Below are 21,422 nucleotides of genomic sequence, written 5' to 3'. Positions count from 1 at the left end.
TCTTGCTCCAATCATCTGGTTTTAGATATTGTATGTACTTTTGTCACTATATACGTGTAATTTTTCTCAATTTGGTTTTCTAAATGGTTATTATTGGTATGTAGAAAACCTATCTATGATTGTATATTATATTTTGTTACCTGTCTGGGTGCAGCTTCCCCTGCATTTTGGCACAAGATTCAACCTGTTTTATTCTCCAAAATAAATGTGACAGGCTGGGTGCGGTGGCTCACGCCTGTAATCCCAGCACTTTGGGAGACTGAGGCGGGTGGAACACCTGAGGTCAGGAGTTTAAGACCAGCCTGGCCAAGATGGTGAACCCCCTTCTCTACTAAACATACAAATGAAAAACTTAGCCAGGCATTGGTGTTGCATGCCTGTAGTTCCAGCTACCAGGGCAGCTGAGGAGGGAGGATCACATAAACTCAGGAGGCAGAGATTGCAGTGAGCCGAGATCGGGCCACTGCACTCCAGCTCGGGTGACAGAGACTCTGTCTCTAAATAAAAAAGAAAAAGAAAAAAAAGAAAATTCATTTCACAGGCAATAGATATCCCATAGGCATGAACTCCCCTACACTTCTAGATTGCATCACCCGCCCCTTTGGCAGCTGTCTGGGAAGCCAGATCCCACACTTGGAAGTGTAGTGTTTCATACAATCCAAAAGTGGTAGCAGAGGCCAGGCGTGGTGGCTCACACCTGTAATCCCAGCACTTTGGGAGGCCAAGGCAGGCGGATCATGAGGTCAGGAGTTGGAGATCAGCCTGGCCAGAATGGAGAAACCCCGTCTCTACTAAAAATACAGAAATTAGTTGGGCATGGTGGTACACGCCTGTAATCCCAGCTACTCGGGAGGCTGAGGTAGGAGAATCGCTTGAATCTGGGAGGCAGAGGTTTCAATGAGCTGAGATAACACCACTGCACTCCAGCCTGGGCAACAGAGGGTGACTCCGCCTCAAAAACAAAACAAAACAAAAACAAACAAAAGCAAAACAAACGAACAATAAAAAGTGGTAGCAGAAATCAGAAAGTCCAGATATGTTGGTAATTGGCCTGGCTGTACGGCAGCAGCCAAGGGTGAACACTAAATGCTCCCAGGCAAGTCCTAAGTTCACCAAGTAATTGGAGTACCCATCTGTGTTAGTTAATTGCCTTTATCTGAAGGAAAAATAAAACTCATGTCTCTATGACAACCAGGTGCTTACAGCTTGGAGCGAGGCACCTAGGCTAAACTCCCCTGGTGACAGGGAGATAAGGACATCATCTTCCTCAATGTTCACATTTCAAAGAGATGGCACCAAGGCCCTGAAGAAAGACATTCCTAAGGGACGGGCATGGTGGCTCATGCCTGTAATCCCAACACTTTTGGAGGCTGAGGCTGGAGGATCACTTGAGGCCTGGAGTTCAAGTTCAAGACATTCCTGGGTTCTAGGATGGCCAGAGGCTTACGTATCAAAGGAAGAATTTACAAATACAAAATTTCTAAAGGAAATGCTCTAAGGAAAGTGAAATGGAGACAGGTTTCTTCTTCTCTCTTGGCAACAGGAAAAATTCAATTTTATGTTTAGTTACCCTTACAATTTCCCCCTTTTGTTAATTGTTTTATAGGAACACTACAATTTTCTAATTATCTCCACTGCTGTTTCTATCTTTCTCTGCATAGTTTGCAGCTACCTAGATATCCAACAAGTCCATAGTAAGATGCAAAGCTAAGCAATTATCAAGATTGTAATAGAATGATTTTTTATTTTTCGGGATGGAGTTTCGCTCTTGTTGCCCAGGCTGGAGTGCAATGGTGCGATGTCGGCTCACTGTAACCTCTGTTTCCTAAGTTCAAGCAATTCTCCTGCCTCAGCCTCCTGAGTAGCTGGGATTACAGGCATGTGCCACTACGCCCAGCTAATTTGGTATTTTTTTAGAGATGGGATTTCACCATTTTAGCCAGGCTGGTCTTCAACTCCTCACCCTAGGTGATCCACCCACCTCGGCTTCCCAAAGTGTTAGGATTACAGATGTGAGCCACCATGCCCTACCTAGAAAGAATTTTTAAATTCAGTATAATACTCACCCTGTCAGGGGGTGGGGCAACCTTTAAGCACATCATACTGGTTAATTGTGTCAAAGTCAAAATAAATTATAGAGACAAATCCCTAAATCAAATGCTGTATTTGGGAATCACAAAATTGCAATTCAGGGCATATACACGGACTAGGGTGGTCTTCATTATGTCCAACGAACAAACAGAAGTTGGAAATTTTATTAGAAAGAAAAATGTTACATATTGTTTTGAAATGAGTCTCATTGGCCCTGGAGAAGCTGGTTCATTCGCACAATCAGCTTTCACATTCCCTCTTTTGATCAACATCTTTCTTTCAAAACCTCACCGATCAGCCATCTTAAAGTGAGGCTTCATTGTCACTCCATGCCAGGATGGACCTGTGCCGGTTGTCTTTATCCCATGTCAAGGGAAAGGTAAGGGAGTCTAGATCAGGGACATGGGCCATATTTGAGCAACAAAGAGGACAGAAGGAAAAAAAATTTCAGGCAGGTTTGCCTGGAGTTCAGCATCAAGTTCCATCTTGTTAGTCCCATCTATATTAGCAATCATCTTGATGCACTGGGATAACATTATTTTCTTGGGAGAACTGGCTTAACAAATATTAGGCAACAAGTATGGAGCTCAAAGATCATAATTCTAAAATAATTAGCAATTGTTTATTTTATTTTATTTTATTTATTTTATTATTTTACTTTATTTTATTTTATTTTATTTTATTTTATTTTATTTTATTTTATTTTATTTATTTTATTTTATTGCAATGGATTCTTGCTCTGTCGCCCAGCCTGAAGTGCAGTGGCGTGATCCCGGCTCACTGCAACCTACATCTCCCGGGTTCAAGCGATTCTCCTGCCTCAGCCTCCCCAGTAGCTGGGATTACAGGTGCCCACCAACATGACTGACTTATTTTTGTCTTTTCAGTAGAGACAGGGTTTCACCATGTTGGCCAGGCTGGTCTCGAACTCCTGACCTCAAATGATCCCCCCTCTTTGGCATCCCAAAGTGCTGGGATTACAGGCGTGAGCCACCACACCCAGCTATAATTAGCAATAGTATAATAAATTTAGTTTGTACAATGGTTTTGAACCAAGATCCCAAGCCTAAGGGCCACCAGCTAAACAAATCAAAAAGCTATGGGGGAATTGAATGAGACCTCTTGTAGTCTTTGAGTAGCATTTGAGGACTGGGTTGAATTAAAGCAGAGTGCCAACTCTAAAGGGACCACTAGGTGAGGTAAAGGATTTGGGCGTCGGGTTCTGTCAAGTGAAAAATGTAGACATTCAGGGGGTAAGAGTCTCATTACGATATGAAGACTTATTCTGACGTCTTGGGAAAAGCTGTCTATAGTGTGGAAACGTCAACTTCTCATCCTGATTTGTCGTTCGAATGTCTCCGGTTATGGCATTGGACAGTTTGGTGAACTTTTTGTGTGGTCCATACATCAGGCAGCAGACTTGTTCCTTAAAATGTATGCACTTTTATCTTACAGAACTTGTAGATCAAAAATAAAATCCTATCCCCCGCCAACCCACAACCATTTGAATGGACTTCTTCCTCAGCCAGGGCTCTTTTAAAATTTAACCTGAGAGATGGTTTCAGGCCATGACAGGAAGTGGGGGTCAGGCATGCCTCATTATACCTCTCTGGCATCAACATCAACACAGACTTTCAGTCTAATAAGAAACATGTTACAACCTAGTCTCTCTGAAGCCTAGTACCTGAAGGCTTCCTCTGCAAATAAGAACTTGGGTCTCCACAATCCTTTATCTTAACCCAGGCATTCCTTTCTGTTGATCCTAGGGTTTTGTTTTGAGATGGAGTCTCTCTCTGTCGCCCAGGCTGGAATGCAATGGGCGGGATCTTGGCTCACTGCAACCTTTGTCTCCCGGGTTCAAGCAATTCTTTTGCCTCCTGTAGCTGGGACCACAGGCGTGGGCCACGACACCCAGCTAATATTTTGTCCTTTTAGTAGAAAAGGGGTTTTGCCATGTCGCTCAGCCTGGTCTTGAACTCCTGGCCTCAAGTGATCTGTCCGCCTCGGCCTCCCAAGGTGCTGGGATTCCAGGCGTGAGCCAACACGCCCGGCCTACTAATTAGGTTTCTTCTTGCTTAGGAAAACTGAGCTTTGAAAGGGTAAGTTTTTAAGTCCGTGTAACTTTCTGTATTGCTTTTGAAGTCTGTGGACTATCACTCTGGTTAAATGAGTGACTATTATTTCCACAGTGACCCATGATCCTGTTTTGCACAAGTGTTTTGAGCCTTTTAACATCTTTGACAAACTTCCCCAAAATGCAATTCTTTTTTAATTTAACTACTGCTGTTGAACAAACTAATCAAACTCTAATTTAAGTCTTTTTAACCTAAAATTGACTTTGAGATTTACCAGTGAGGCCCCTGGAGAGCCTCAAAGAATGTGTCTCTCATTAGGCTTATTTGATATGTTAGATTATATGAAAAGCAATGTCAAATAATAAAAAATACTAATCGCTGTTTACATTTACATAGATATGTTATTGACGTTAATGTTCAGAAGATCATGTAAAATTTACAGAGGTCTGATGGTCCTGGTGTGATGCTATTAGTCATGATTCTGGTTGTTATCTTAAAATGCTCTCTATAATAGAAATAACTGAATTTTCTTGTCAATTATTGAACTTTCGTCAGATTTTCATCGCTACTATTCTAAGCTTTATCATCTACAGTGCTGATTCTTCTCTAAAGGCATCCAGAATCAGATTCTTAAAAAATATTTTAACAAGTACTGTTGAATATAGATTTGTAATAACTTTCAGATCAATGAACTAAATAAATAATTTTTGAAAACTCTAATGAAAACTGATGGGTTCATGCAACTGATTATCAAGATCAAGCAGAACAAACATTAATTATATGAGGCTAAATAACCAATAATGTTTTTATGACCTTTATTTAAAACTTTATTTATTCTTGGGCTAGGTGCAGTGGCTCACACCTCTGATCCCAGCACTTTTGGAGGCCGGAACAGGAGGATCTCTTGAGTGCAGGAGTTCAAGACCAACCTGGGAAATATAGGAGACCCGGTTTCTGAAAGAAATTAAGAAAATAAAACTTTATTTGTTTTTTACCTAAATGTTTTGTTTTCCACATTTAAGAAAATTTTCTGGTGGGATGTGGTGGCTCACTTTGGAAGCCAAGGCAGGAGGATCGCTTGAGCCCGGGAGTTCAAGACCAGATTGGGCAACATGGCAAAATCCTGTCTCTAAAAAAACAAAAACAAAAATAAAAAGATTAGCTGGGCATGGTGGCATGTGCCTGTGATCCCAGCTACTTGGGAGGCCGAGGTGGGAGGATCACTTGAGTTGGGACCCAGAGGTTGCAGGGAGCCGTGTTTGCACCACTGCACTCCAGCCTGTGCAACGGGGCACAATCCTTTCTCAAAAAAATGAAAACAAAGAGAAAATTTTCTCTGTTAAACTATCTATAGTTTATAATAATTTTGTGAAGTATACTTTTGTAAACTGAGATGGAAATGTTTGCTTTTTCTTACTACTCAATTCCTCCAGAATTCAAAAACTATTTGTAAATATTCCTATGGCAATATGGTTATTCACACAGGTCCAGTAAAAACCTGCTCTTGGTGCCTCATTCAACTCCAACATGGCAAAAGTCTCCAGCCCTACAGAGAGTCCCTGATTGCTATTTTCCAGAAATAGGCTGGAAAGGATGGTTACAATAGCACTCACTCCAAGATGGAGTTCCCAAGCTTCATGAATACAGAACTGGATGCCTTCATGAAGAACCAGAGGGCCCCAGTGTCTTTGACCACATGATGAAGAAACTGGACCTCACTAGTGATGGGCAGCTAGATTTCCAAGAATTTCTGCATCTGATGGATGGCATGACTGTGGCTTACCATGACTCTTTTCTCAAGGCTGCCCATTCCAAGAAGCGGATCTGAGGATCCCCTGGGCCTGGTTTCCAAGCCAACCCCTTTCTTTCCAGCCTCACCATCACCATCTGCTCACAGCCCACACATACCCTGGGCCCAGCACAATTACCACCTCATGCAGGCCCTGCCTGCAGGTAGTAATAAAACCATTCCCTCCTCCATGCTGCTCCACCGCTCCCCCTCCCTCCCCTTCCTCCCCCTCCCTTCGCCCTTCTCCCCTGCTTTCCTCCCCTCCCCTCTCCTCTCCTCCTTTCCTCTTCTCTTCTCTCAAGTACACCCGCCGCCTCATGCAGGCCCTACCTGCAGGTAGTTATAAAACCATACTTCTTTTCTCTTTTCTATCTTTCTTTCTTTTTTTTTTTTTTTTTTTTTTTTAGCAACGGGGGTCTAGTTATGTTGCCCAGGTTGATCTTGAACTTCTGGGCTCAAGTGGCCTCCCAAAGCTCTGGGATTTTAGGTGTGAGCCATTGCACCTGACCCACCTTTTTTCTAAACACACACAAAAAAATCTGCTCTCTCTTTATAGACAGATACAATTAAAAACATTGGTTATAAGGCCGGGCATGGTGACTCACACCTGTAATCCCAGCACTTTGGGAGGCTGAAGTGGGTGGATCACCTGAGGTCAGGAGTTTGAGACCAGCCTGGCCAACAAGGGGAAACCACATCTCTACTAAAAATTATAAAGAAAAAATGTAGTAGGGCATGGTGGTGTACATGTGTAATCCTAGCCACTCAGGAGGCTGAAGCAGGAGAATTGCTTGAACCCAGGAGGCGAAGGCTGCAGTGAGCTGAGATCTCACCAGTCTGGGTGACAGAGCAAGACTCTGTCTCAAAAAGAAAAAAAAATTGGTTGTATTACCAAGGCTTTCATCAAAATGCATGGAATGCCTGACTTCAAGTGTTTTTAGCTTTAGAGTGGGTGAATAAAAACGGTCACTTTCTGTCAGGCCCAGGAACCTTAAGAAGGTAGGTGAAATCTAAAGTCGGCCTTGGTTTGACTTTCTATGCTCAAGAGGTTTTTAAATCTGAGATTCCTAAGTGATCAATGTATAGAGAAAAATTATGTTGCTAAAGAAAAGCTCTAATAGACCAGTTATTAGATTGTAGCTCTCTGCATTTTTTCGAGTTCTTGTGTTTTTTTTTCTTTTTGTGTTGTTGTTGTTGTTTTTGAGACAGAGTCTCGCTCTGTCACCAGGCTGGAGTGCAGTGGCGGGATCTCGGCTCACTGCAACCTCTGCCTCCCGCATTCAAGCGATTCTCCTGCCTCAGCCTCCCGAGTAGCTGGGACTACAGGTGCATGCCACCACGCCCGGCTAATTTTTGTATTTTCAGTAGAGACGGTGTTTCACCATGTTGGCCAGGATGGTCTCAATCTCTTGACCGTGTGATCCGCCCGCCTCGGCCTCCCAAAGTGGTGGGAATACAGGCCTGAGCCACTGCGCCTGGCCGAGTTCTTGTTATCTACATACAGACTAGACTAGATCCAACTTTTTCCCATAAAATTACTAAAAACAGAAATTGCTCTGTTCCTGAAGCCTGCTGATGAAAAGAGTCAAACTCTGGAAAACACTTGAAGAGACTTATTCTGAGCCAAATAGGAGCGACCACGGCCCATGACACAGCCTCAGGAGGTCCTGAGTTGCCCAAGGAGGTTGGGTGCAGCTTGGTTTTATAGATTTTATGAAGACTCAATCAAATACATTTAAGAAATACATTGGTTTGGTCCAGAAAGGCAGGACAACTTGAAGCAGGGGCTTCCAGTTTATAGGTAGATTAAAAAATTTTCTAGTTGACAATTGGTTGGGTTTTCTAAAAACCTACGATTGGCCGGGCCTGGTGGCTCATGCCTATAATCCCAGCACTTTGGGAGGCTGAGGCAGATGAATCACCTGAGGTGAGGAGATGGAGACCAGCCTGGCCAACATGGTGAAACCCCGTCTCTACTAAAAATACAAAAAAATTAGCTGGATGTGATGGCGGGTGCCTGTAACCCCAACTACTGGGTAGACTGAGACAGGAGAATTGCTTGAATCCGGGTGGCAGAGGTTACAGTTGGCAGAGAATGCACCATTATACTCCAGCCTGGGCAACAGATCTAGACTCTGTCTCAAAACAACAAACAAACAAACAAACAAACATGCCTAGGATCAACAGAAAGGAATGCCTGGGTTAAGATAAAGGATTGTGGTGACCCAAGTTCTTATTTGCAGAGGAAGCCTTCAGGTACTAGTCTTCAGAGAGACTAGGTTGTAACACGTTTCTTGTGAGATTTAAGTCTGTGTTGATATTGATGCCAGAGAGGTATAATGAGGCATGTCTGACGAACACGTCCTGTCATGGCCTAAAACAGTCTCCCAGGTTAATTTTAAAAGAGCCCTTGCTGAGGAGGACGTCCATTCAGATGGTTAAGGGTGGGGGTGCTTAGGATGCTATTTTTGGTTTACAAATACTCTAAGATAAAAACACCATAATTTTTTTTTTTTTTTTTGAGACGGAGTCTCACACTGTCGCCAAGGCTGGAGTGCAGTGGTGAGATCTCGGCTCACTGCAACCTCCGCTTCCCGCGTTCAAGCGATTCTCCTGCCCAAACCTCTCGAGTAGCTGGGGCTACAGGCACGTGACAACATCCCCGGCTAATTTTTTGTATTTTTAGTAGAGGCGGGGTTTCACCGAGTTACCCAGGATGGTCTCTATCTCCTGACCTCATGATCTGCCCACCTCAGCCTCCCAAAGTGCTAGGATTACAGGCATGAACCACTGCACCCATCCAAACTGCATACATTTTAAGGAACAAGTCTCGTGTCTGATGTATGGACCACACAAAGAGTTCGCCAAACTGTCGAATGCCATAACCAGAGACATTCGAACCACAAATCAGGATGAGAAGTTGACGATTCCACATTGTAGACAGCTTTTCCGAAGACATCAGAATAAGTCTTCATATCATAATGAGACCCTTATCCCCTTAATGTCTACATTTTTCACTTGGCAGACCATGACTCCCAAATCCTTTGATTCACCTAGTGAATCCTTTTTATAGAGTGGTCCCTTTTATAGAGTTGGCACTCTGCTTTAATTCAACCCAGTCCTCAAATGCTACTCAAAGACTATAAGAGGTCTCATTCAATTCCCCCATAGTCTTTTGATTTGTTTAGCTGGTGGCCCTTAGGCTTGGGATCTTAGTTCAAAATCATTGTACAAACTAAATTTATTCTACTATTGCTAATTATAGCTGGGTGCGGTGGCTTGTGCCTATAATCCCAGCACTTTGGGATGCCAAGGAGGGCGGATTACTTGAGGTCAGGAGTTCGAGACCAGCCTGGCCAACATGATGAAACCCTGTCTCTACTGAAAAGACAAAAATTAGCCGGGTGTGGTGGTGAGCACTTGTAATCCAAGCTACTCGAGAGGCTGAGGCAGGAGATTCGCTTGAACCCAGGAGGTGGAGGTTGCAGTGAGCCGGGATCACGCCACTGCACTCTAGCCTGGGCGACAGAGGAAGACTGCATTGCAATAAAATAAAATAAAATAAAATAACGATAGCTAATTACTTTTGTATTATGATCTTTGAGCTCCATTCTTGTTGCCTGTCTAATATTTGTTAAGCCAGTTCTACCAACAGGAAAATGTTGGCCTAGTGCTTCAAGATGAATGCTAATATAGATGGGACTAACAAGATGGAATTTGATGCTGAACTCCAGACAAACCTACCTGAATTTTTTTTCCTTCTGGCCTCTTTGTGGCTCAAATATGGCCCATGTCCCTGATCTAGACTCCCTTACCTTTCCCTTGACATGGGACAAAGACAACCGGCCCATGTCCATCCTGGCATGGAGTGACAATGAAGCCTCACTTTAATATGGTTAATCAGTGAGGTTTTCAAACAAAGATGTTGATCAAAAGAGGGAATATGAAAGCTGATTGTGTGAATGAACCAGCTTCTCTAGGGCCAATGAGCCTCATTTCAAAACAATATGTAACATTTTTCTTTCTAATAAAATTTCCAACTTCTGTTTGTTCGTTGGACACACTGAAGACCACCCTAGTCCTTGTATATGCCCTGGATTGCAATTTTGTGATTCCCAAATACAGCATTTGATTTAGGGATTTGTCTCTATAATTTACTTTGACTTTGACACAATTAACCAGTATGATGTGTTTAAAGGTCCCCCCGCCCAAACAAGGGGAGTATTATACTGAATTTAAGAATTCTTTCTAGGCAGGGCATGGTGGCTCACATTTGTAATCCTAACACTTTGGGAGGCCAAGGTGGGCGGATCACCTGGGGTAAGGAGTTCAAGACCAGCCTGGCTAAAATGGTGGAACTGCATATCTACAAAAAATACAAAATTAGCTGGGCGTAGTGGCACATGCCTGTAATCCCAGCTACTCGGGAGGCTGAGGCAGGAGAATCGCTTGAACTCAGGAGACAGAGGTTGCAGTGAGCCGACATCGCACCGTTGCACTCCAGCCTGGGCAACAAAAGTGAAACTCCGTCCTGAAAAAAAAAAATCATTCTATTATAATCCTGATAATTGCTTTGCTTTGCATCTTACTATGGATTTGTTGGATATCTAGGTGGCTGCAAACTACACAGAGAAAGATAGAAACAGCAGTGGAGATAATTAGAAAATTGCAGTGTTACTATAAAACAATAACAAAAGGGGGAAATTGTAAGGGTAACTAAACATAAAATTGAATTTTTCCTGTTGCCAAAAGGGAAGAAGAGACCTTTCCCCATTTCACTTTCCTTAGAGCATTTTCTTGAGAAAATTTGTATTTGTAAATTCTTCCTTTGATCTGTAAGCCTCTGGCCATCCTAGAACCCAGGAATGTCTTGAACTTGAACTCCAGGCCTCAAGTGATCCTCCAGTCTCAGCCTCCCAAAGTGTTGGGATTACAGGCATGAGCCACCACGCCCATCCCCTAGGAATGTCTTTCTTCAGGGCCTTGGTGCCATCTCTTTGAAATGTGAACATTGAGGAAGATGATGTCCTTGTCTCCCTGTCACCAGAGGAGTTTAGCCTAGGTGCCTCGCTCCAAGCTGTAAGCACCTGGTTGTCACAGAGACATGAGTTTTACTTTTCCTTCAGATAAAGGCAATTAACTAACACAGATGGGTACTCCAGTTACTCGGTGAACTTAGGACTTGCCTGGGAGTATTCAGTTTTCACCCTTGGCTGCTGCTTTACAACTAGGCAAAGTAGCTACATACCTGGACTTTCTGACTTCTGCTACCACTTTTGTGTTTGTTTGTTTGTTTGTTTTGTTTTGTTTTTGAGATTGAGTCTCTCTCTGTCGTCCAGGCTGGAGTGTAATGGTGAGATCTCAGCTCAGTGCAACCTCTGCCTCTCGAGGTCAAGCGATTCTCCCACCTCAGCCTCCCGAGTATCTGGGATTACAGGTGCACGCCACCATGCCCAGCTAAATTTGTATTTTTAGTAGAGACGGGGTTTCACCATGCTATCCAGGCTGGTCTCGAACTCCTGACCTCATGATCTGCCTGCATCGGCCTCCCAAAGTGCTGGAATTACAGGCGTGAGCCACCACACCTGGCCTCTGCTACCACTTTTGGATTGTATGAAACACTACACTTCCAAGTGTGGGATCTGGCTTCCCAGACAGCTGCCAAGGGGGCAGATGATGCAATCTAGAAGTGTAGGGGAGCTCGTGCCTGTGGGATAAATTTTGACCGTTAAGAAAAGGAACCAGGAGTGAGAGCCAGGTATGTAAATTCCCTCTCCTCTCCTCTCCCCCTGCACCGTTCCAGGCATGGTTTCTCGGTATAGTCTGTCTAGAGGTGTCTGGAATGGCCCAAATTCTGTTTCGTTGGGAACCTGAGCTAAAACAATGGGCATGCAAACACTCGAAGAGAGTGCTAAGTGTTGTGGAGGACCTAGATCTGCACAGAGGAAAATTATTGCAATAAGAAAATGGACAATTTGAGGATTTGGAATAGAGGGAAGGACTAGAAGAACCAGTAGTAGAATAGCTTAGGGGTAATAATTTTGGAGAAAAAGGCAGTTCTGGTGATTTTTGCTGTGAACTGCTCAGCTCTGTAAAATATACACTTCTTTCTTTCCATCAGTCTCCTCTATGAAATCTTCCATAAAGTATCCTTTTATAACTATCTATTGCCTGTGAAGTGATTTTTCTTTTTTCTTTTTCTTTTTATTTAGAGATAGAATGTCTGTCACCCAAGCTGGAGTGCAGTGATGCCACCTCGGCTCACTGCAATCTCTGCCTCCCGAGTTCAAGTGATCCTCCCGTCTCAGCTGCCCTAGTAGCTGGGAATACAGGCATGCGCCACCAGGCGTGGCTAATTTTTTTTTATTTTGTGTTTTTCGTAGAGATGCGGTTTCACCATCTTGGCCACGTTGGTCTCGAACTCCTGACCTCAGGTGATCTACACACCTCAGCCTACCAAAGTGCTGGGATTACAGGCATGAGCCACCACACCCAGATTATCAGTTTTTTTTTTTTTTTTTTGAGAATAAAACAGATTGAGTCTTGTGCCAAAAGGCAGGGGAAACTGCACCCAGACAGGTAACAAAATATTATATATAGTAATAGATAGGTTTTCTGCATACCAATAATAACCATTTAGAAATCCTAATTGAGAAAAATTACACGTATATAGTGACAAAGGTACATAAAATATCTAAAACCAGATGATTGGAGCAAGATGGCAGATAGATCCCATGCCCTACTCAACATTCCTTCGAACTGGGAAGTGCAGTGGGAGATCTCGCCACTGCACTCCAGCCTGGGCGACAGAGTGACATTCTGTCTCAGAAAAAAGAAAAAAACGAAAAATAGTAATAAAAGTAATGTATCAGAACTTGACGGAACTTCAGACCTTCACTGTAATAGTGAAGGAGAGAAACACATTTGTGGAGAGGGGACCATGTTCACTCTTTATCTATCCATGATAGACAGATAGTTGGGAGCTTTATATACTCATGGAACCTAAGGAAAAATATTCCCTGTCATAACTCACAATCTTCCAGCCACCCTTCCTTGCACTTGTCTTGTGGGCTGGGGGACCCCACTTATGGATCCCATCTTCCCAGGGAGAAAGAAAAATCAAATCCTTCAGTATCTCCTTTAGGGTATCCTCTCCTCTATTTGCATGGAGGATAAGGCACTCAATTTCTAGTATCGGAATATTACATTTGTGTAATACAGAACTATATTGGGATAAAATAGAATTTGTTTCCTCTGAGACACAGGTGGAGGTACGTCCACACTGACCTGGGGGGCAGCCACCTCTTCCTGCAGTGCCAGGCAGGGCATGCTCACAGATCTGGGGAACCTCTGTTTCTCCTGGAGCCCCACAACCTCCTTCCTGGCACCCTCTCCCTCTGGTGGCTGTGACAGCCCACACTTGGCCTTGGGTATCCCCTGCTTCTTTGCCTGCCCTTCTTCTGCCCAGGCTGCACATCTCTGTCTCCCACTGTCCCCACTATGTCCACGATTGCCTCTTCCTCCCTGCACTCTCCATCTCTAAGGGCTCCTTGTCTTGGAAAATGAACCCACAACCTCTACCTTGCGACTGGGGACAGAACCCGGAGTTTGTTCAATTCTCCCTCCCTCCACCACACACACCTTTCCTCCTTAATGTTTCTGAAGTCAGTGAGCTCCAAACTCAGCCCCTCCTGCACCTGCCAGCTGTAGGACCTGTGACAAGACGCCTACCATCTCTCTGGGACTCTGTCTCTCATCTATCATATAGGCATAATGATGATAGTGTGCTCCTTCTGAGGCTGGGGAGAAACAGGAGGCCAAGGTGATGGGCTATGGATGTTCAAAACAGCTCCAATCCTGCCTCCACCTGGGGCTGGTGTTTCAAGTCTGTTGTGTGTGACTGGAGGTTTAATGTCTTCATTCACACACACTGGTTTGTTCTAAAACGGACTTCCCTCTGCCCATCCCTTCCCCACAACTGTTTCACCTCCGCACCGTGCAGTGGGACCTGTGAGAAAGAACTGTCCCATTCCCAAATCATCGTCCCCACCCCAGCCCCCAGGCCCTTGGTTGGTGAGACCCTTGATGGGCAGTCTCATGCTTCTGTTCAGGAGACTTTTCCACCATTGATCCTTTGCATGGAGACTAAGTGGACTCTTCTATTCCCTGGCCATCACAGGGTCTACAGTGCACGCATCTTCCTCATCCCTCCACATTCCCCAGATGACGATTTCATCTGTGTCTCCTCCCACATACTCCCAAATGGACTGTCCTAGCCCTAGAACCCGAAAATGGTTCAGAGAGCGAAGGCCAAGATGCCCAACCACCTGCTGCAGAATCCTGCTCCAGGACTGAAGTGTATAGTCTCTATCAAAATAAAAACTGAAGGCCAGGTGCGGTGGCTTACGCCTGTAATCCCAATATATTAGGACGCCAAGGTGGGAGGATTGCTTGAGCCCAGGAGTTGGAGACCAGCCTGGGTAACATAGTGAGACTCTCTAGACAAAACCTAAAAAAATCAGCGGGGCGTGATGGTGCATGCCTGTAGTCACAGCTACTCTGGAGGCTGCTGTGGGAGGATCACTTGAGCCCAGGAGTTCAAGGCTGCATTGAGCTATAATCATGCCACTGCACTCTAGCCTGGATAGAGCAAGACCCCATCTCTAGAAGAAACAAACAAACAAACCAAGAAACCCAACAACGGGAAACATCCTCCTCTAGAATGGGGGTCAGAAACATCTGTCTGCCTTGTTCCCTGATGTCTCTCCAGCACCTAGAACAGCGCTCAGCACGAGTATGCACTCATTAGTTTTTTGTTGAATAAGTGACTCGTTTGACACAGCAATTCCACTTCTAAGAATCTTTCCTAAAGAAATATTCATACACATGCAGAGAGCTGTGTGCACAATAATGAGAGGAGCAAACAACTGGGGAACGTTTGCAAATGTTTATTAACTGTCAGTGACTGATAGAGGGGAATCGGATGAGGGGAGTACAAGCAGATGGGAGGTGCTTATAGTGTTACTTGGTGTGTGTGTGTGTGGGGGGGTGTGTAAATGCAGAGGAAAAAATCTGAAATTAAACACTCAGACCTCCCCTCAGCAGTCACATCTGGGGAGAGAGGAGGGTAGTGCTGTTCTATGGAGAGAATACCTGACTATACTTGTTTTCTAAGGTAGGTGCATGGATACACAAACCGAAATATGCATTAAGCATGTATTGCTGAACAGTGAAAATGTTAATATCTAACAGAATGGCACACTGTAAGAAAGTACAACGGAAACGCTAACATCGAACTCTTGGCACACTAAGAAAAATGACGCTCAACTTTTCACTGTTGTGAACACTTGCTTTCACTTGCTATGCACCTTATGATGAGGGGTTCGCAGCCACGCCCATGTTCGTGAAAGGTCACCACATTCTGCTTCTCATCATGGGCATGTGTCATATCCCTGAGGCTGAGGCAAGAAGAGAGAAGGAAAGAAAGTGGCAGTGAGTTCCCACCACATGACAACTCAATCTCAACTCCTCCTGACCTGCAGACCCTGCACACTCTGATTCTGCCCTACCTCAGGGCCTGCACACGCCTTCCACGGTTCCTCGAAGTGAACCATCTGCTCATGCTACAGTGACTTCCTCACCTGGTTTATCGATTCCTAGGCTAGAGGAAGGTGTGGCCCGCATATCAGGGCTGACCTGGGGTTTGGGAACCCACAGCATCCTGGGTAGGGAGCATCTCTGGATATACAGGGCAGGGAGTAGAAAGAGCATGGGAAATCGGCCGGGTGCGGTGGCTCACACCTGTAAATCCAGCACTTTGGGAGACCGAGGCAGGTGGAGAGGCAAGTTCGAGACCAGCTTGACCAACATGGGGAAAGTTCATCTCTACTAAAAATACAAAAATTAGCCGGGTGTGTGGGGTGCACACGTGTAATCCCAGCTACTCAGGTTGCTGAGGCAAGAAAATTGCTTGAACCGGGATGCAGAAGTTGCAGTGAGGCGAAATCGGGCCACCACATCCAGCCTGGGCGACAGAGCAAGAATCCCTCCAAAAAAAAAAAAAAAAAAAAAAAGACAGAAGGAAAGAAAGAAAAGAAAGAAAGAAAGAGAATGGGAAATCTCATCATTCAGCCTCAATGCTGTACCCTAGAAAAGGGAATTATTTGGGGAGCAAGTGACAGATGGGATACCAGTATCATAACAGAATAGCACATCTGCAGGGATGTGGGGGATGAGCGGGAGGTTCACTTACGGAGTTACTCGTCATCTTCCTCAGGGTCGCTGATCTCTTCATAAATCACCAGCTGCTTTCTCTCATGCAGTCTGTGGGTCCAGGCATGTTTCCCACTTTTGGGTCCTATGATGGAGAAGAGTTGGAAAGTGAGGGTTGGGTGGGTTGGAGAGTGTTAGGCTCTGTTTTCTCAAAAAAGTAGATGCCTCCCCACCACCAAGTGCCCATGGGCCTTCTTTATCCAGTTTTTCACATTCTCTGGCTTAGAGAGGCTGAGGCCTTAGATCCACACCAATACACGACAAATACCAATTAAAGTTTTAGCTTCTGGCTCCTTCCGTTGTCAGGTTTAGATTCCCAACCTCTTCACTTATGGGAACACTCACCCATACCTCCTTTCATGCTGCACGTATTTGTTAAGGGCACAAGGCAAACCTTGCTTTATGGCACCTCATTTTTATCCTGCTTCGCAGATACTGTAATTTTTTTTTGAAATTCTCACCAATTTTACACTTTTCCATTATTATTATATCTGTTATAGTGATCTGTGATCAATGAGCTTTGATATTATGATTGCAATTGTTTTGTTGTTCTTTAGTCTTTTAAAATATTTTTTTTATTTTTGTGGGTACACAGTAGGTGTATATACTTATGGGGTACGTGAGATGTTTTGATACATGCATGCAATGCATAATAATCACATCATAGAAAATAGGGTATCCATCCCCTCAGCCATTTATCCTTGTGTTACAAACAATTCATTTACACTCTTTTAGTTTTTTTAAATGTACAATTAAGTAATTATTGATAATAATCACCCTGTTGTGGGTAATTGTTTTAGGGGTAACAGGAACTGCACCCACAGAGGATGACAAACTTAATTGATCAATGTTGTGTGTGTTCTGACTGCTCCACCGATGAGCTCTTCCTTGCCTACCTTCCTTTTCTTGGTCCTCCCTATTTCTTGAGACACAGCAATACTGAAATTAGGACAATGAACAACCCTACAATGGCCACTAAGTGTTCAAAGGAAGGGAAGAGTCGCATGTCTCTCACTCTAAATCACAAGCTAGAAATGGCTAAGCTTAGTGAGGAAGCATGCTGAAAGCCAAGACAGGCTGAAAGCTCGGCCTCTTCCACCAAACAGCCAAGCTGTGATTGCAAAGGAAAAGTTCTTGAAGGAAATAATAGTATATAATGCAAAGGAAAGGTCTTGAAGGAAATAATGATACTAATACTCCAGTGAACAGACGAATAAGAAAGTAAAGCAGCCTTACTGCTGAAATAGAGGAAGATTGCGTGGTCAGGACAGAACATGAAACCAGCCACAACATTCCCTTAAGCCAAAGTCTAATTCAGAGAAAGACCTGAACTCTCTTCACGACCATGAAAGCTGAGAGAGGTGAAGAAGCTGCAGAAGAAACACGTGAAGCTAGTAGAAGTTGGTTCGTGAGGTTTAAGGAAAGAAGCCATCTCCATAACATAAAAGTGCAAGGTGAAGCAGCAAACCCTGATGGAGAAGCTGCAGCAAGTTATCCAGGAGATCTAGCTAAGATCACTGATGAAGGTGGCTACACTAAACAACAGATTTTCAATGTAGATAAAATAGCCTTCTATTGGAAGGAGATGCCATCTAGGACTTTCATAGCTAGAGAGGATTGACTCCAACTTTGAAAGAAGTTCTACTGTGGGTAAAATGCTATCCAGTAGCATCACACAGTACAGGGAAATCTTTCATGAAAGGGAGAGCTAATCAATGTGGCAAATTTCATTGCTGTGTTCTTTTAAGAAACTGCCACAGCCACTCCAATCTTCAGCAACCACCACCTTGATCAGCCAGCAGCCATCAACACCGAGGCAAGACCCTCCACCAGCAAAAAGAGTGTGACTCACTGAAGGCTCAGAAGATTGTTAGCATTTTTTATAAATGAATTATTTTAAAATTAAGGTATGTACATTTTTAGACAATGCTATTGCACACTTAATAGACTACAGGATAGTGTAAACATAAAGTTTTTATGCACTGTGAAATGACAATAACAAAAAAATGTGTGACTCACTTTATTGCAGTGGTCTGGAACAGAACCTGCAATATCTCTGAAGTACACCTGATTGGTTATCAGGCATTGAGCTGCGTAAGATATGATCCCAGGTAATTACAGATAGAATTGCTTGAGCACCTTTCATGTCATCAGGCCTTCTAGATTAAATTTAATGCCTCCAAACAATTTGTGAACTATGATTCTTTATTTCCATCGCATAGACTGGGAATCTGGAGCTGAGAAAATTTGAAAGACTTGCCCCAAGTCACGTGGTTTTTATATGGATGACAACTCCACTCTGTGTCTCTGGAAGTCATGTCTGACATCTCTTCTGGAGCTGGGCAAGCTCCTCAGTCCAGCTGGGACCTAGACTTGTCTGGGGTCCATGCCACACACCCAATCCACACACCTGAACATAGCCAGGAAAGCCAGAGGGTTTGTTCCCGAATTGTTTCCTCTTACCAGATCTCTTGTGAATCTTCTCAGAGGTATTTGCTTTTCCCGGGGGGCACAGCTGCTTCAGATCGTTTTGTAGGGCAGATGGTTCTGGCACTCCCTTCTAATCATTCCCTTCCTCTGCTGGCTTCTTGGGCATGATCTTTATAATATGAAGGTCACAGATAAACAGTATCGGTGACATTTCTATAGTGCTTTAGAGCTTACAAAGAGTCTTCACATGCATTACCTTAATCAATGTTCTCAACTTTGCTGGGAGAGTTACACTTGCCTAAATTAGGAGAAACCTGGGAGGGGAGGTTAGAAGGGAAAGGATTGGTCTAAAGGAATGGGGTTTCCAGGGTTAGATTGGTTATCTTCACACTCTTTTAAGACTCACATTCTTGCAAACAGCAAAAATCTCCATTTAATTGAGAGTGTGATATACAGAAGATTTGGGGCATAGCATTCTAAGAATTCACAGGTCTACAAAAGGAAGAGCTTCTATAAAATACAAGGGATCCCATATAAGCTTGTAGACAGCTGTTGGGAGAGTAAATGTAAAAACATAGGGAGGGGACAAAACACTGCTGGGAAAGATGGTGTGGGGAGATGTATACAGGGAAGGGAGAGGGAAAGAAATGGTTTGCTGAAATTAATCTAGGCAGCAAAGAAAGCAGTACCAGATCTGGCATACCACCCTACTGAGGCATCAACATTGAATGTGGAATTCAGTGAGGTGGTACCCATATCAATTCTTGCTGCATTGGGGTGGGTCACTGACCAACAGTCTTAAGCCACACTTATTCAGCTTCCTCAATTATGTAATAGTGAATAATACATGTAAAATAGGCTAAGGGAAAGTCCTCTCTGAGCTTATAAACACTGTTTAAATATAGTAATAATAACAATTAATACCTTTCATGATCCTTCTTTGAATTTGGCCTCCATACTGGCAACCCAATCCCAGATTCCTTTACCCTCTAAACCGGAGTATAATACGTACTTGTGGAGTCACTCATTCAGGGGCCTCCAAGGAATCCCCTGGGCTGGGACGGGGGCTTCTTGGATGCACCAGGTATAGACAAAGCCCTCAAGGAGCTCGCAGTAGGGAGGGGCCAACAGTCAAACCGATTCCTAAGCCATGCGAGTGGCTCTAGTAACGGATCAGAGGCCAGCTGGTCCTTCCTGTTGCGAGAGTGGGTGTCTCAATGGAAGCACCAGCAGGCCCTATGGGGTAAAGCCCTAGTGAGCAACATCTGAACTTCATAAACAAATGCAAACGTGAATGAGCTTTAAATGGCTTGGAGCTCTGGATTAGACTACCACTGACACTGTGCCCCAGGAAAACTCTTTAACATCTCTGTACAATGATAGCCTCATTTTATTATTATGCTGCTGATAACTATGATCTAAAACATAAACTATGATTCTTTACTTCCATTTCATGGACCAGGAATCTGGAGCTCAGAGAACTTAGAAGATTTGCGCCAAGTTACATGGCTTTTATATGGATGACAACCAAAGTGTGTGACTTGTTATTCTTTGGAGATAATAACAGAAACAACGTCATAGACGTATTCTTAAGGATTAAATAAATTAATCCATGTAACCTGCTTAGAATATCTGGCAGCACTATGAAAACAAAAGAAGTATTAAGGATTACAACTGTCAGTGTTATCAAGCCGTCAATGCTACATCAGGTGTTGTGATAGACATGGGAAAAAGAGACAGTGAGGGCATTTTTGATATTCTCCCACTCTTACCAGTTTTCGCATCCATGGAGGGACAAAGGTTCTCTGGCCATTTAGATTTGAGAGATACTCACCTTCGGGAAGATTCTCTAGAGTTTGCTGAAAGTCATCTGAGGACATTCAACTGAAAGAGAATACATCAGAATTTTTCTTTGTTGGTAAAGATTTCCAAAAAGTGCTGGGATTATAGGCCTGAGCCACTGTACCTAGCGTTGTCTAAGCTATTGAAAATTTGTTACAGCTGCAATAAAAAATGAATGCACATAGAAACATTTATTAGTGAAACAAAATAGAAAGTCAAGAAACAGACTAATCTATACGCAAATTTCAGCATGCATTTTCAAACAGTGGGCAAAAGATGATGGGTTGTATAATAAATGATTGCTTGACAAGTATCTATCTATTTGAAAAAATAAAGATTAAATCCTTACTTTAAACCACATAAAATAATAAATTCTAAAAAATCAGTTACTTAAACGTGAAAATGTGAAGTCATAAAGAACTAGATGAAAATTTAGCAAAATATTACAGTGTAAGACATCTGGAGGTGTCATAGGCACTTCCTGATATTACACTAAGGCTATGAACAATGAATCTGACATAACAATGTAAAAATTAAAGTATCATCTAATTCAAAAAACACCACAAAACTGTTTAAAAAGGCAAATGTTGGGGAAATTGGTGAAGCATCCTCAATAAATTAACAGTAACCATCTCTAATATACAACAAAGATTTTGCATATCAGTAAGAGAAACTGGAACAACCCAATGAAAAAATGTGTTCAGGCATGGCACTACTTCACCGTATAGGAGAAAAGGATTATGAAATAGAAAGTATGAAATGAAAATAGTAAAGGAAATGGAGGATAGAGCCCAGAAGTTTCAACGTTCATCCAATAGAAGTTGCAGAGGTAGAGAATAGAAAGACTGGACCAGGTGCCGTGGCTCACGCTTGTAATCCCAGCCCTTTGGAGGCTGAGGCAGGCACCTCACCTAAGGTCAGGA

The 21,422-nt window shown here is 43.5% G+C and overlaps 2 pseudogenes, besides 1 other annotated feature; one reads left to right on the top strand and one right to left on the bottom strand.

Moving 5' to 3' along the window:
* Positions 1–5,693: 5,693 nt before the first annotated feature.
* S100A11P9 (S100A11 pseudogene 9) lies at positions 5,694–5,994 on the top strand (annotated as a pseudogene).
* On the bottom strand, positions 14,519–20,698 carry SSX19P (SSX family member 19, pseudogene; annotated as a pseudogene).
* Positions 15,109–15,368: a silencer, noted in NCBI's record as "fragment chrX:48186958-48187217 (GRCh37/hg19 assembly coordinates)". NCBI's record gives its function as "represses an EF-1alpha promoter that drives an FKBP-Casp9 reporter gene in an ReSE screen in HepG2 liver carcinoma cells {active_cell/tissue: HepG2}" and the evidence as "EXISTENCE:reporter gene assay evidence [ECO:0000049][PMID:32094911]".

The sequence above is a fragment of the Homo sapiens genome, chromosome X (genome assembly GCF_000001405.40).
Source record: "Homo sapiens chromosome X, GRCh38.p14 Primary Assembly".
In the NCBI taxonomy this organism is placed as follows: domain Eukaryota; kingdom Metazoa; phylum Chordata; class Mammalia; order Primates; family Hominidae; genus Homo; species Homo sapiens.
Note: the sequence above shows the minus strand (reverse complement) of the source record. Positions and strands in the feature narration are given on the sequence as shown.